This window comes from Homo sapiens, chromosome 4, assembly GCF_000001405.40.
Source record: "Homo sapiens chromosome 4, GRCh38.p14 Primary Assembly".
Lineage (NCBI taxonomy): Eukaryota > Metazoa > Chordata > Mammalia > Primates > Hominidae > Homo > Homo sapiens.
The window spans coordinates 73,589,663-73,605,678 of record NC_000004.12 but is presented as its reverse complement, the minus strand read 5'-3'; the positions used below and the strand labels follow the sequence as shown (position 1 = coordinate 73,605,678).

The following is a 16,016-nucleotide window of genomic DNA, read 5'->3' as shown; positions in this document are numbered from 1 at the left end:
TTGCTTCAATCGAGATAGACTACTTCTCCACAAATTTCTCAGTTTCCAGACTTTGGAACTCAGTCCCTTCATTTGCAAAGGAAATGCGAATAACCTACTTTCCTAGCTGAGGAGGGTCTCTATGCAAAGATTGAAAAGCATTCTTTCTTCATCATTTGAACCAGATGAGGCCAAAAGCGAAAAGACCTGGAGCCATGGCTGTTTATGAAAGAGGAGCCAAAACTTGTAATTTTAATTCCAGGATTCAAATGGACAGGAATAAAGGATAAAATGGGTTTGGAGAATTCTGCTTCTATTACAGACATCATTAATATGGAATGATGATTTATCTTGGCAAATAGCTTGATGACAAGGCTTTATTCAGTTCTCTTCTGCGTCCTCATATTTCCTGATTCCATCTTTCCAAAAACATACAAGAGTGTATATTACATTTTTATGAACCTAAAAAATATCATGAAAGTATCACACGTTTCTTATATAGAATTTATAGGCCGGGCATGGTGGCTCACACCTGTAATCCCAGCACTTTGGGAGGCTGAGGCAGGTGGATCATCTGAGGTCAGGAGTTTGAGACCAGCCTGGCCAACATGGTGAAACCCCATCTCTACTGAAAATACGAAAATTAGCCTGGCCTGGTGGCAGCTGCCTATAATCCCAGCTACTCGGGAGGCTGAGGCAAGAGAATCACTTGAACCCAGGAGGTGGAGGTTGCAATGAGATGAGATCACACCATTGCACTCCAGCCTGGGCAATAAGAGCGAAACTCCATCTCAAAAAACAAAAAAAAAAAAAAAGAAAGAAAATGATTTATAAGGTATATAGAATTATAACATAGGAAATAAAAATCACAACCTTAATTCCCAGCAAATAATTTGTTACCTTTACATATTTAATGTAATGTTTAATATGTTTAACTTTAATATTTTGTAGTTATTTTATAAAACTATAAAGTTCTAAATTCAGCTTTTTGAACCTGACATATGAAATTGTTAAATAGCTTCACTGCTAAAATTTAATATCGTGAACAAAATCAGTGGGAAAAAGAAAACCTGTGCAAGAGAACTAATTAGCACTATCCTTTTCTTCCTCAGTTTTTCACCTGCTGAAGTCTGTTTCAAATATTCTTGGTTCCTGCTCTTAAACATGGCAACACACACAGTGGAATGGTTGTTTTGCTTTGTTTTGTTTTGTTTTGTTTTGTTTTTTTGAGACAGAGTCTCACTGTCGCTCAGGCTGGAGTGCAGTGGTGTGATCTCCACTCACTGCAACCTCCACCTCCCGGGTTCACGCCATTCTTCTGCCTAGACTCACGAGTAGCTGGGACTACAGGCGCCGGCCACCACACCTGGCTATTTTTTTCTATTTTTTAGTAGAGATGGGGTTTCACCATGTTAGCCAGGATGGTCTCCATCTCCTGACCTCGTGATCCGCCCACCTCGGCCTCCCAAAGTGCTGGGATGAAATGTTGTTCTTAATGTTGTTGTCACTAAGCAGCTCAGTGGCTGCTTAATTGGAACCATGAACATTTTTCAGCAAGTCTCCAAGAAGCAGAAGTAATACAAACTCAGGAAGCACAGCCAGGGGATAAACATGCCTTTGGCAACCTCGTTGAGTGTATTTTCCCCTGAGGTTCATTTGTATCACACGGAAGTCTTTCAAGTTTGTGTAGGGTGACGGCATATGACAATATTTATGCTTTGTCCTTAGTGGGTTCAAACTGTAAGAATCACTTTGTAAAGACTAGGACAGGGTTCTTTGCCTTTTAGGGAAGGACTAGGATGGCCACTTAATTATGCTGTAAGTCATTATTAAAACAAGAGGAAAAAAATCTCTTAGTACAACTAATATTTGACATCCACTCTATCTATGGATATCAGACATAATTCACTTCCACCCATAATCCTATCCCACATTCATGTATATTACAGTTTTATAAAATTAAATAAAAAGTTTCTTCCAGCCAGCCAAATACCTGATAAGATTGAGGAACTCATTTCATGCTAAGTACATTATTCATGGCAAACGTCAGAATGCGGGTAATTCCCATAGGCTGAGCAGCTGCAATTCAGGCCACAAAGTACAAAGTACACCAGAGCATTTTACAGTAAACTCTGGGTCCACTATTACTCATTAAAACCAAGCTGGAGCCTTAAAGGAACAGGACCCTGGGATCCCCTCAGCATCCCTCCCCCTGACCTGCCCCCCACCAAGGTCAGTCTCTCCTTGGCTAGCTCTCTTCCAGGGCCATGATGAAGAATCCTGGGTATTCATCGGCTTATACCAGGATTCTCTCTCCACACTGCTTGTGGCAGGGTGCCAACTTCTATCCTGGAGAAACTTATAATTTACAGTTCATTTAGATAGAAGTCCAGTTTATATGGAAGTTTGGTTTTCTTCAGTTTAGTGAAAACACCATCCTTATATAGTGTTTGATGATGTTTAAAAACACCCTTGTTACATATTGTGATACAGTGTTTCACGTTCCAAAAACCAAGGCTCTTTCCTAGAAAATCAATTTTTTGTGTCTCACATATAAAAGTGTGAGAAATTTGTGTCTATTTCTTTTTCTTTCTTTCTTTCTTTCTTCTTTTGAGACGGAAACTTGCTCCGTCGCCCAGGCTGGAGTGCAGTGGCGCAATCTGGGCTCACTGCAAGCTCCGCCTCCCGGGTTCACGCCATTCTCCTGCCTCAGCCTCCTGAGTAGCTGGGACTACAAGCGCCCGCCACCGCGCCCTGCTAATTTTTTGTATATTTAGTAGAGACGGGGTTTCACCGTGTTATCCAGGATGGTCTCTATCTCCTGACCTCGTGATCTGCCCATCTTGGCCTCCCAAAGTACTGGGATTACAGGCATGAGCCACCGCGCCTGGCCGAAACTTGTGTCTATTTCTTGGGCGTGCCTTGGACATCACAGACTTGTAAACTGGAAAACTGGACATAGAATCCATTTCTTATCACCCATTTTAAAGTATTTTAAGGGCCATCAAACAGTTTATGCTAAGCCGTCTGATCATGTTGGAAGGTGAACTTTTACAGGTTTGAGGGAGAAAGGTGCACAAATTCTTTTTGAGGGGGTCCGCATGTAACAGGTGGACCCTAAAAAAATCTGTTAAAATTACCACTGACAGGCAACAGTGTATATTAAATCAGGGCTCCTCTTATTGATTAGGGACTGCCCAGATAACACTTTAGTGATTGCCTTTGGTTCTTCTAAACCATACAATGCCTGTAATTATTATAGGTCCCTTCTGGACTTTAGAACCTTCTATAGACATGGCACATTTGTTCACCTTTCCGTGGAACATCAGCCTCATTTCTGCACCTCTACCACACTAGTGTTGCAGTGGTCTCACTCATCTTGCTGGCTCTATCTTGTCTCGTACTGAAATCTATCTTTCACATTCTACCTAGTGATCCTTAGTATCATCATGTCTTTCACCTGCCTAGAATCTTCAATAGCTGCCCATTGCCTGCGAAGTGAATTCCAAGTTTCTTAAAATGGTTCACGGGGCTCATTCATTGCTCAGCATTCCCCATTTTACATGTTGCATTCTTGGAATCCCAACTCTTGAGTTTTTTTCTGTGAACTATAGAAATAGCTACATGTCCCTTTTCATGTTGTTTCTTTGCCAGGTAAACTCTTTACATTCTTCTTTTCCTGTTTAATTCTCACCAACCAAGGTTCACCGTAGGCAACATCTATTCCTTAAAGCTCTCACCCACCCTCCCAGCATGACTGAGGCCTCTTGACTGTGCTCACACAGCAACTGTATCATGTTCAATAAATGACCTTCTGTGGGATGGTGTAATGTGAATAGACACAGATGATCAACTTAACAGTAATTCTTCACCTTGCTGTTCCCCTAATGCCAAGTTAAATTAGAATGTTACAGACATACATTGTATTTTCAAGGTTATATTAGACATATTGTTTCATCAGGTACATAAACTAATCATCTTCAAAAGTTTCTCTGGTAAGGTGTACACACGATTAAAAGAAATGTTTGGACAACATTCACCATTGCTATAATTTGTTCAGGCAACTTCTAAATTTTCTTTTCTAATTCCTTGCTTTGTATTGCACCACTAATTTACCTAATTTTACTCCAATACTTTAGTTTACTGAGCTCTAATCTTCAACACTCCAAAATCCTTCAAAATCCAATTAATAATCAAAAAGATTCTACTCATGGTGAGAAAAATACTTCTATGGTATCCAGCTACCCTGTATTACACAGTGGATTACAGATTGGAAGACTTTCTCTGCGAAGAGCCAGATTAGAAATATTTCAGGCTCTGTAGGTCATATGATTTCTGTTACAACTACTCATCTCTGCAGTTATAACAGAAAAACAGACATAGACAATGAGCAGACAAATTAGTGTGGTGATATTCCAATACAACTTTGTTTACAAAAACAGGCAGCCTGGGACCACCATCTGCCAACTCCTTATGTCATTTGTAGACTTATTTCAGTTGAGGATTTAGTCAGGCTCTATTCAGGTTCAGAAACATTTTCCAACTGCACATGATCCTGAAGTAAACACTTTAAAGGCTGCTCATACTCTACTATGTAATGTACTTTTATCAGAAGCAGAAGCTGAGGGAATAAGATTATGTAAGGCTCCATTTGCTTTCATAACAACTCTCACAGCTCAGCATATCAGGAGTTGCATCCCAAGTGTCCCTGAAGTTTCTTTACAGTAAAATTTCTTTATGGTGAAATTTCTTAATAGTGTTCTGGCACTAAACAATGAGTGCTATAAATCATGTTCATGTTCTTGGCCAGTAGTATAATTTTTAGGAAATATCCTATGACAATGACCCCAGGAGAACAAAATCAGTGTGACCAATGATATTTAGAAGAGACATGTTCATTAACATTAAAAATGGAAAGTAATCCATTTGGGAAATGAACCAACAGTATGGAGGACTTCAGGAGGATCTTTTTATGGCAATTGTGTGAAGTGTATTGATCCTTGGAAACGTACACCTTGAAAATTACAAGTGAGAAAAAGCCAATGGCAACATACATGCTTACCTGATTTCAAACATGTAACAGTCAGTATATATAAATTCTGTCATTCAATATTCAGTATTTATTGAAGAAGAGCCTACTGTGAGCAAGTTTCTGCTCTGAGAACCAGGAACACAGGAGTGAATAAAGTGGACCAAACTCCCTGCCCTCTCATTTTCTTATGAGACAGAGACAGATATTGAGGATCAAAGGGATTTTAGCAATTGAAATACTTGGAATTTTAATATCATGACTTGTTGGGTCTTTTTTTTTTTTATAAAACCGCTTATATGAGAAAGCTTTTCTTCCTTTGTTTATTGTTGTTTAGGCAATGAATATTTCCCGATAATTTTAGTCAACCAGAATTTGTCCTGCTATGTACCAAGTACTCTTCCAGGCACAGGATACAGTGTGAACAAAATGCATACATACCCCTGCCCTGTTGGAGCTACATTCAATGGAGGAGACAGAACATAAGGAAATAAGTAAAATATATAGAAGTTGACTCAGGGACAGGGGCAGAGGAGAAAATCAAGATATGAAATGCTGGGAGAAGGTGAACTTTTAGATTGGGTGATCAGGAAGGACTTCTTGAGAAGATGACTTTTGATTAAATAATTAAAGAAGATGAATGAGCTGGCAAGGTGAACGTTTGGGGGAATATCATTCTGGGCAGAGGGATCAGCAAGTGCAAAGGCCCCAAGATGAGAATCTGTCTGGAGTGGCCAAGGAACACCAGGGAGGCTGGTGGTTGCATGAAGTGAGGGAAGGGTGGGAGGAAATGAGATGAAAGAGGTAACAGAAGACCAGTTGCATCCAGCCTTTTAAGCCATTGTAAGGATGTTGGCTTTTAATCTGAAAAACAAGAAGACATTGAAGAGTTCTGAGCAAAGAGGAGAGATGGTCAGGTTTGCATTAAAACAGTTTCTGCTGTTGAGAGTAAACAACAGATACAGGGAGGCTTTTAGGAGGCTGCTGCAATAATCCAAGTGAGAAATGATGATCATCTCAAGAGGAGCATCTCAAGACATAGAGACACTGAGAGAAAGATAGAATAGAGGTATGGTAAGAGCCAGTGTTCCCACTGCCAGGGCCCACCTGCCACAAAGGGTGAGATAAGTCAGGAGCATTCCTTACCACAGCTGTTTTCCCAGTGGGAGACACAGGGAGGAGTTTCCAGGCAAGAAAGCGCTGAGTCACTCACCAGCACATCTGGTCTCAGATCTTGATACCCAGCTAGAAGGGCGGAAAGGTAGAGGGCTCCTCCCCTACAAACTTTCCTGGCCAAAGTCGGCCATTGTCAGCTGTGTGGGGCAGGCCAGGAGAGAAGCTCCCCTGCCACAGTAACAATGAGCCTTTGCTTACTGTTGCTTCACCCAGCCAGCTGGGATCTTTGACTTCTGTGGTTGCCTTTAATAGTCTAAACAGCCCCGGCAAGTAGGACAGATCACCTTCATTTCACAGCTGTGGAAATTCAGGGATACTAAGTGACTTACACAAGGGAACACAGATTTGGAGAGTTGGGGCACTGGTGTCCCATCCCATGCCCTGGGGACACAGGAGGGAGTAGTGTATAGAGAGATGGTATCAGCCACACACCAGTGCTTAATTTAGGTTGGTTAAAAATGTTGAAATACAAAAAGGAATATGAAACCAAATTCCTGTTTCGTGGCTGCCTCCTGCTACAGAACACTGTTCTCACCATTTTTGTCCTCAGTCATTTCCCACCTTTGGTTATTTATTTATGAATTAGCAACTTCAACATTTGCTGATATTTTAAGAATGCTTCCACTTCCAATGACTTATGTTAAGTTAAAGTGACAGAACAGTAAAGATTCCATTAAACTATTTCTTTCTATCTCATACCTTTATGAAAGTACCATTATCACCTTTTACGTTAAAAACTCTAAGACTGATTGTAATTAATTTTTTTTTATTTTTAGGGAACAACTTAATTCTTTATTGAAGACCTATAACATTTTTTATGAGAACCAGAAAAATCTGCATATTTTATATGGAGAGGTAAGCCCACTGAAGAAAGGCAATCCGGTGTTATTCACACACACACATGCGTGCACACACACACACACACAATTCTGGAAGAAACAGGTGAAAGTTTAACTTGATTATGATTCTTTTAGACTTGGGCTTGGAACACTTGTGACTTTCTAAGCATTTTTGAGATAGAAAAGCATTTAAAAATTTTAATGACATATTTTCTTTCTATTTTAAAAATAGAATATGAATATTTTAACAGCATTTACACTGAAAATCTATCACAATACTTTCTTACAAATGCGTCAGAATGTATATAGAAAGATATTCATTGTGATGTCATTTGTAATGCAGAAAATTGAAGACATCTCTATCAATTAGGGATTATTCAAATAAATTATGATGCATCTGTAATGTCAAATTTGATTTGGGTTTTAAAATGAATGCATTAGATTCCAATAGATGTGCACTATATCAAAATAATAAAAATTTTGAAATATTAAAGAAAGAATTCAGGAAAGTCCTGAAGCTAGAAAGCATTTTTCTAACTTTTAAGTTCAGGGGTACAAGTGCAAGTTTGTTACATAGGTAAACATGTGTCATGGTGGTTTGTTGTACAGATTATTTCTTCACCCAGCTATTGAGCCTAGTACTCATTAGTTATTTTTCCTGGTCCTATCCCTCCTCCCAAATTCCACCCTCTGATAGGCCTCAGTGTCTGTGGTTCCCCTCTATGTGTCCATGTGTGCTTATCCTTTAGCTCCCACTTATAAGTGAAAGCAAACAGTATTAGGTTTTCTATACCTGCATCAGTTTGCTAAGAATGATGGCCTCTAGCTCCATCCCTGCAAAGGACATGGCCTTGTTCTTTTTTATGGCTGCATAGTATTCCATGGTGTACATGTACCACATTTTCTTTATCCCATCTATCATTAATGGGCATTTAGGTTGATTCCATGTGCTTGCTGTTATAAATAGTGCTGCAATGAACATATGTGTGAATATGTCTTTATAATAAAATGATTTATTCTCCATTGGGTATATACCCAGTAATGGGATTGCTGGGTCAAATGGTGTTTCTGTCTTTAGGTCTTTGAGGAATCAACACACTGTCTTCCTCAATGATTAGATTAATTTACACTCCCCAGCAGTGTATAAGGGTTCCTTTTTCTCCACAACCTCACCAGCATCTGTTATTTTTTGACTTTTTAATAATAGACATTCTGACTGGTGTGAGATGGTATCTCATTGTGGTTTTGATTTGCATTTTTCTAATGATCTGTTATGTAGAGCTTTTTCATATGATTGCTGGCCACATGTATGTCTTATTTTAAGAAGTGTTTGCTCATGTCCTTTGCCCACTTTTTAATGGGGTTGTTTGGTTTTTTCCCTTGTAAATTTGTCTAAGTTCCTTGTAGATGCTGAATGTTAGATCTTTGTCAGATGCATAGTTTGCAAAAATATTCTCCCATTCTGTAGATTGTCTGTTTACTCTATTGATAGTTTCTTTTGCTGTACAGAAGCTCTTTAGTTTAATTAGATCCCATTTGCCAATTTTTGGTTTTGTTGCAATTGCTTTTGGCATCTTCATCATGAAATCTTTGCCCATGCCTGTGTCCTGGATGGTATTACCTAGTTATCTTCCAGTGTTTTTGTAGTTTTACATTTTACATTTCGATCATTAGTCCATCCTGAGATAATTTTTGTATATGGTGTAAAGAAGGGATCCAGTTTCAGTTTTCTGCATATGGCCAGCCAGTTATCCGAGCACCATTTATTGACTAGGGAATCCTTTCCCCTCTGCTTGTTTTTGTCATATTTGTTGAAGATCAGATACTTGTAGATATGCAGTCTCATTTCTGGGTTCTCTACTCTGTTCCATCAGTCTGTGTGTCTGTTCTCGTACCAGTATCATGCTGTTTTGGTTACTGTAGCCCAGTAGTATAGTTTGAAGACAGGTAGTGTGATGCCTCCAGCTTTGTTCTTTTGCTTAGGATTGCCTTGGCTATTCAGGCTGTTTTGGATTCATATGAATTTTAAAATAGTTTTTTCTATTTCTGTGAAGAATGTCAACAGTAGTTTAATGGGAATAGCATTGAATCTACAAATTGCTTTGGGCAGTATTGCCATCTTAACAATATTAATTCTTCCTATCCATGATCATGGAATGATTTTCCATTTGTTTGTGTCATCTCTGATTTCTTTGAGCAGTGACTTATAGTTATCTTTGTAAATATCTTTCACTTCCCTTGTTAGCTGTACTCCTAGGTATTTTATTCTTTTTGTGGGAGTTTGTTTGGGATTTGGCTCTTGGCTTGATTGTTGTTGGTGTATAAGAATGCTAGCAACTTTTGCACATCGATTTTGTATCCTGAGACTTTGCTGAAGTTGCTTATCAGCTTAAGAAGCTTTTGGGCTGGAACGATGGGGTTTTCTCAATATAAGATTATGTCATCTGCAAACAGGGATAGTTTGACTTCCTCTCTTGCTATTTGAACGTCCTTTATTTCTTCAAAAGCATTTTTAGGAGTGCCACTGGCAGGCTACTGTACAAAGTGGCCTTATGTTTACTTTTTTTCTTTTTATTTAATTTCAGTGTTTCATTCTCCACACGTCTCTTCACTCAGCCTTGTATTCTGATGGAGCTCACTTTACATATTTACAATATCTTCCTGGCCAAAGGGGACATTAGAATTTTCTACTCCTGATTTAATTTCATGGCACAGCATGGACTTTAGGCGACCATGATTTGGCTTAAATCTACAGTTTGGACAGAAGGAAATTTACAAAGCACTCTGGCCTTTCCTATTGAGCTTAAATGATTTAGTTCAATTGGGTATTTCAGTTACTTTCCCAAATTCAATAATATACTGAATTAAATAACTAATCTCTTTATAAAGAAGTGGGCCTAATTTTAAATTATTTCAACATTGTCCTGTATCTTAAATCTTAATATATACAATTATAAAAATATAAAATTTAGGAAAAGAGTAAAACTAGGAAAATGATTATTTATACTTTAATTCAAAAGTTTCCACAAAATTCATGATGTTAAGTTTGTTTCCTTTAGGTAAATATTTGAGTTTTTGTGTTATGAACATTTAAGTTGAGGCATATTCTTTCCAATTCTGTACATCAGTGCTCCATTTATAATACAAAAGTTATTCAGGTCAGGTGCTGTGGCTCATGCCTATAATCCCAGCACTTTGGGAGGCCGAGGCAGGTGGATCACCTGAGATCAGGAGTTCGAGACCAGCCTGGCCAACATAGCAATACCCTGTCTCCACTAAAAAAGAAATACAAAAATTACCCAGGCATGGTGGTGCATGCCTGTTATCCCAGCTACTCGGAAGGCTGAGACAGGAGAATCACCTGAACCAGGAGGTGGGGATTGCAGTAAGCTGAGATCACACCACTGTACTCCAGCCTGGGTGACAGAGCGAGACTCTGTCACACACACAAACAAAAAAAAGTTATTTAATTTTTTAAAATAGTTTCATGTTTTATATAATTTTTAAAAACTGTATGAGGTGAAGTGTACGGTGAGGCTACCAGACTTTTCAATCTTTACACACTGATCAATAAAGTCATAATTCAGAATTTTTCAAATCTTCTGACACTGTTTAAAAGGGGCAGTCCTTGGATGACAATATGTGGCTTTATTCATCTTTGGTTAATTAATCAATTAATTAAACAAATATTTATTGAATGTCTACCATGTACCAGACACCATTTTAAAAGCTGGAGATATAGCAATGAAGAATTTAACAACCTCAGCAGAGTAGTGGGTTTTGTTTTTCTTTTCAGAGATTCTATAAGTTTTTGATACAAAGGCTTAATTGAGTTCTAGTTAGGCAGAGAAAGAATGCTGTCCACCATTAACTATATAATCTATATCATATACAGTCATTTCAAGGAATAAATTGTGTTTGATTGTTGAAAACAACTGATTGGTAACCTGACCTCTTAGTAATCTGAAATGTAAAGTCAAAAGTGGAAGAAGTGCAAAACTTTGTTTCAGGAGTGATTCCAAAGCAAGTTTATCAGCCAAAGAAATAATAAACAGTAATATAGAGCACCTATTGAATGCCAGGCGCTGTGAATTAGGGGTTATCATAATGTCTGTTTTTCACATGAGAAAGCCCAAGTTTAAAGGTAGCCAGTGACTTGTCCAAGGCCACAACTAGGAAGTGGCAGAGCCAGGGTTTGAGCACAGGTCTGTCTGATTCCAGAGTCTGGAGTTTTCATTATGCTCTCAAATAAGAATTGAGTGTTTAAATGTTGTCTAACAATTGATTCTTCATAATATTAATAATAGTTAATGAATGTTAAAATAGGTATTGGGTGGCTGGCATATGACTTTTGTTAGTTTCTACATTTTCCAAAGTTTCTATAACAGAAAACATTACTTTAACATTGGAAAAGCACTTTCATATATATAATGATTATTTATGCTTTAATTCAAAACTTTCCACAAAATTTATGTTAAATTTGTCTCCTTCTTCTGCTATACTACAGTATTTCTAATTTTAAAGAAATTCTTCAAATGCTATTGTTTTTACAAAAAATATATCTATGTTTTGAATTTTTACAGCGTGTTTTCACACGTGTTATTTTACTTGTTTTGCATAACTTTGTGAGTTAAATTTTTTTCTGTTCAGCAATGAGGAAATAGCTGCTAAATCTTTAAATAGATGTTTTTTTCTAATTTCTAGTTCAGCATAATTTTTAAATCTGCTTTAATTTTAAATTAAACAAAATTAGAGAATTAAAATTCCACTTAATGGAAGAATCAGAGTTCAGAAAGCATTTTGACATACTGTGCCCTCTGGTGGACATGCCATTACCATTATGATTTACTCACTTTGCTGGGTATAGCTGTTTTCAAAAATAAAAGAATGTTTCAAAAATAGAATTGCTTTGTAGATAAATTGGAAAGCCAAACAACAACCCTGGCGTTTCTTTTTAATCTATTTAGGTTTCTTACGCACTTAATTTCTACATCTTCGTTAAAACATTTACCGTCTATAAATAATACAAAAACAATTGGGGGATTATTCATTTCTTCCTTAGACTGAAGATGGCAAACTAATTGTTGAAGGAATGCTGGACATTTTCTGGGGAGTAAAACGACCTATACAGCTAAAAATACAAGATGAGAAGCCATTCTCTTCTTTTACTAGTATGAAGTCATCAGACGTCTTCTCCAGCAAAGGGTAAGCTATCTTTCATGTTTTTAATTCCTCAGAAGATGATCTTCATATCTAGTTTTATTGCGTGCACTCTTAAGGAGGGAAACTTAAGCTTGTGTAAAACTGATTACACACAATCTCATTTAATTTCCCAGCAATGGCCGGGCACGGTGGCTCACACCTGTAATCCCGGCACTTCGGGAGGCCAAGGCAGGTGGATCACCTGAGGTCAGGAGTTCGAGACCAGCCTGGCCAACATGATGAAACCCTGTCTCTACTAAAAATACAAAAATTAGCTGGGCGTGGTGGCAGCCGCCTGTAATCCCAGCTACTCGGGAGGCTGAGGCAGGAGAATCGCTTTAATCCGGGAGGCGGAGTTTGCAGTGAGCCGAGATTGCGCCATTGCACTCCAGCCTGAGCAACAGAGTGAGACTTTGAAAAAAAAAAAAAAAAAATCCCAGCAACTCAATGAAGTTGGTGTTCAGAAACTAGGGCTCTTCAAGATTAACTAATTTGTGCAAGATCCCCAATTACGATGTGGCAGAACTGGACTGGGCCTTACTTCTGTCTGGGGTCCACAGCCTGTGGTCTTGACTCCTCTGCTCTGCTACTTCTCTCCTGGAGACTGCATTCCTTCATTGGAAAAGGCAAAATGTAAAGTCAGAATTTGATTTACCCTGGCCTGGTCTCCAAAATAAGAGGATAAAATCTAAATGTCTTCTTTCCTTGGAACAAAGGGCTCATTGTGCTTTCTACCAAGGAAACTTAATGATGTTCCATCTGATTGTCCCAATCCTGTTCAACAGAGCACCCTGAAATGCACTTGAAGTTAAATAAATGCACAAAACAGTCCCTTGTGTGGGCTTATGCAAGTGTCCCTTGGATATCCAGGTTGGGCTGATTTTTTCCTTACCCCTTTACAAGTTTCAGAAAAATTAATAAATATTCTCAGCAAGAAACATACCTGTATAAAAGTTCCTTTCATCCTTTTTTTCCATCCCTTCTTCCTTTTTAGTCCTTACCTCTCCAGCTCAACCCACTGTGTATATACATTGAGATACCAAGCCTTCTTTTCCCACCATTCATCCTCGCATCCATTGTTAGATGAGCTGGCATTCTATCAGAGGAGGCAATGGAGAAAGAGCTGCCAGGACAATTTGCCCAATGTAATATTTGGCCACAACTAGGGAAAATTAATTATCACCTTGACAGAAGTCTGCTTTTCCTTTGGAAAAAATATTTAAGCCCGACTATGATTTTCACCTTGCCAATATTTCTCAAAAATTATGCTACTGCCATGCTGAATGTTTTGTAATTCCCTACACATTTCATGCAATTTCTAATTTTCCTGACTCTGCCTAGAAGTCTCCCTGCTTCTCCACATCCATTTGCCTGAGTCTCTTCCACCAGTCCTTTAAGACGCAGGTGAGGTAACATGTTCTCCAGAAAGCCATTTCTGACCCCTCAGTCTATACGAGGCTCACTGAAAACTTTTCTATATCACTTGACACACATGCAGTCAATTGTATTTTTGTATACTTATCTCCTTGTCTATAGTGCAAGCTTCTCGGTGGTAGGGAATGTGCTTTATTCATCTTTGTTTTATTTGCTTTATTCATCCCAGTGCCCAACTGTGTGCCTGGCACAAAGAGGAGATTCAAACCATAGTATAGAGCAAAATCCCCAGAAGCCTGTGGTTAAATTACCTCTGCTTTGTTGTCACTACTTAGTCCCTCTATCTATCTCGTCTCCCATCCAAGCTAAGGATTGCCAAGGAGCTTAGGGCTCAGGGCCTAAGGAAGAACGGAAGGGAGGCAGCAGCCTCCAGCAGCCTGAGAGAGCCCCACATTTCTCACTTCAGGTACCTGATGACTGATGGGGCTTATGATTCTAAATGACAAGGAGCATCATTTAAAAGGAAAAATTACTCTTGGGCTCTGCTTTCCGAAAACTGTACAAGATACGGATTTATAAAATTAACTACCATACTTCATATTACCTAAGACCTCATTGCAAAATTCTCTGAGCAGTCACATCTATTTGATGCATTTTAATTTTTTAATTCATGAAAATGTAATAAATATCAAACATTAAAGGAAAATGCCACAGAAATGAAGTAAGGTAATTTTAGTATCACCTTAAACCATCATTATTTTGTATGGCTTTACCAAGATATGTTTTAAGTTTTATTTTATTTTTAATTGACAAATAATAATTCTATAAATTTGTGGGATACATGTTTTTATGCATATGTACATTGCAGAATGAACCAAACAGGCTAATTAACATATCAATCATCTCAAATATTTATCATTTTTTGTGGTGAGAATAGAGAATATAAAAAATTCTCTTATTTAACTCTTTTGAAGTATGCAATATATTATTATTAACCATGATATTTTTTAACTTCTCAAATTTAAAACACTTGTTCCTAGCAATTCTGAATTTTTGGATGAGTTTCAAGAGCCCAGGTGGACAAGGTAATATGCCTCTCCATATACTGCCACAGGTTCTAAAATAATATCCTCATGATACACCTGCTATAGGATCCATTTACATTTTGCATTGTTTATTAGTACATTGCTGTGAAGCAAACAGGAATTGGCTCTTTTTGTTTAAAGTGGAGAAAAATTACCTAGAAACCTTGACTGGCTTGTCCTTTTCCAGTAACAAGATTAACTGTAGAACATTTGGCAGAAAAAGATCCCATTCCTTTTACATACACACAGAACCACACGCAAACAAGAGCAAGATTAGATTTGGTTGTCATTAATTAGCCAAGAGTACTTCCTGGGAGCCAGCTGAACACTCAGGCAGGAAGGCACAGCACAATTTGAAGTGGCTTTTCCCTGGTTTCTGGTTCGCTAATGGGGTGCATAGCCACCTAAGGTATCACTTTTGTTGTTTCAATCCAGTTCTAGACACCCTCCCTCTGGTTGTCTCATTTAAGATAACATCTATTTTAATTCTCAGCCTTTAATTGTGAAAAGAAATTTACTGTTTTCTTACTTTTAAACTATTTTCTTTTTCCCATAGTGGGCACCTCTAGGCAAAACTTACACCTCTGCTCTTGCAGGATGACAGATTTTATATCTGCAGTGGGTAAACGTGGGGTAAATGACAATAGAACTTCAGCTGCAGGAAGGGCTATAATCTTGTGTCTTTCAGTTCTCTCTTTGACGGAATCATTGGTCTTGTCACATTAGTTTAATTATGTTTGAAATGAGTCACACAGAGGAAGTATCAGCTTAATTGGAGTGAAGAAGCTTTTAAAAAATCAGTTTTTTTGAGCTCTGACCACTTGTTATTCTTTATGGAAACAATTCTATGGGCAGTACTTTGATCTCTCATATCTGGCACAAGTGTTTTGGAAATCTTTCATAACAAAAGAGAAGAACAGCCTTGTTAAGGTTGTGTTTGCTTATGCTATTTTTCACATCTGTTTTTAATATCTTTCAAAACTCAGCTTTTGCATATTTTGGACAAGTCATGACAGAATAACATAAAGAGCACAAACTGGACAGGTGTACATTTGAATAACGTCAGTGGTGTTTTTTTACTTACAGTATGGGTAGGGAAGTGACCATATTCTATTTGTCTATCAAATTTCTACCTCCTTTTTATTTTTAAACTCCTTAGAAAACCTCCCCATCATTTAAATTTGCAAATGATATACATCCTGAACTTTAGTCAGAGCAACAGAAGTCCCATGTTTGGGCAAGTTAAACTATTTGATATTACATAAAGTTCCAACCAGTTTTCTCTTGAAAACTCTGGATAACTGCCCTGAAGCTTAGTCATGTGCACAGTTG

General features: G+C 38.0%; 1 protein-coding gene across 14 annotated transcripts in view; it reads left to right on the top strand.

Annotated features, from left to right (window-relative positions):
- The window catches only part of RASSF6 (Ras association domain family member 6), a 49,082-nt gene that overhangs the window by 14,953 nt on the left and 18,113 nt on the right, over nt 1-16,016 (top strand). For 10 of the 14 annotated variants that reach the window (XM_011531689.4, NM_201431.2, XM_047449709.1 and 7 more), the window contains 2 exon segments: nt 6,961-7,039; nt 12,086-12,228. In XM_011531689.4, coding sequence (XP_011529991.1) covers nt 6,961-7,039; nt 12,086-12,228 — 222 coding nt within the window. 14 annotated transcript variants of the gene reach the window in all.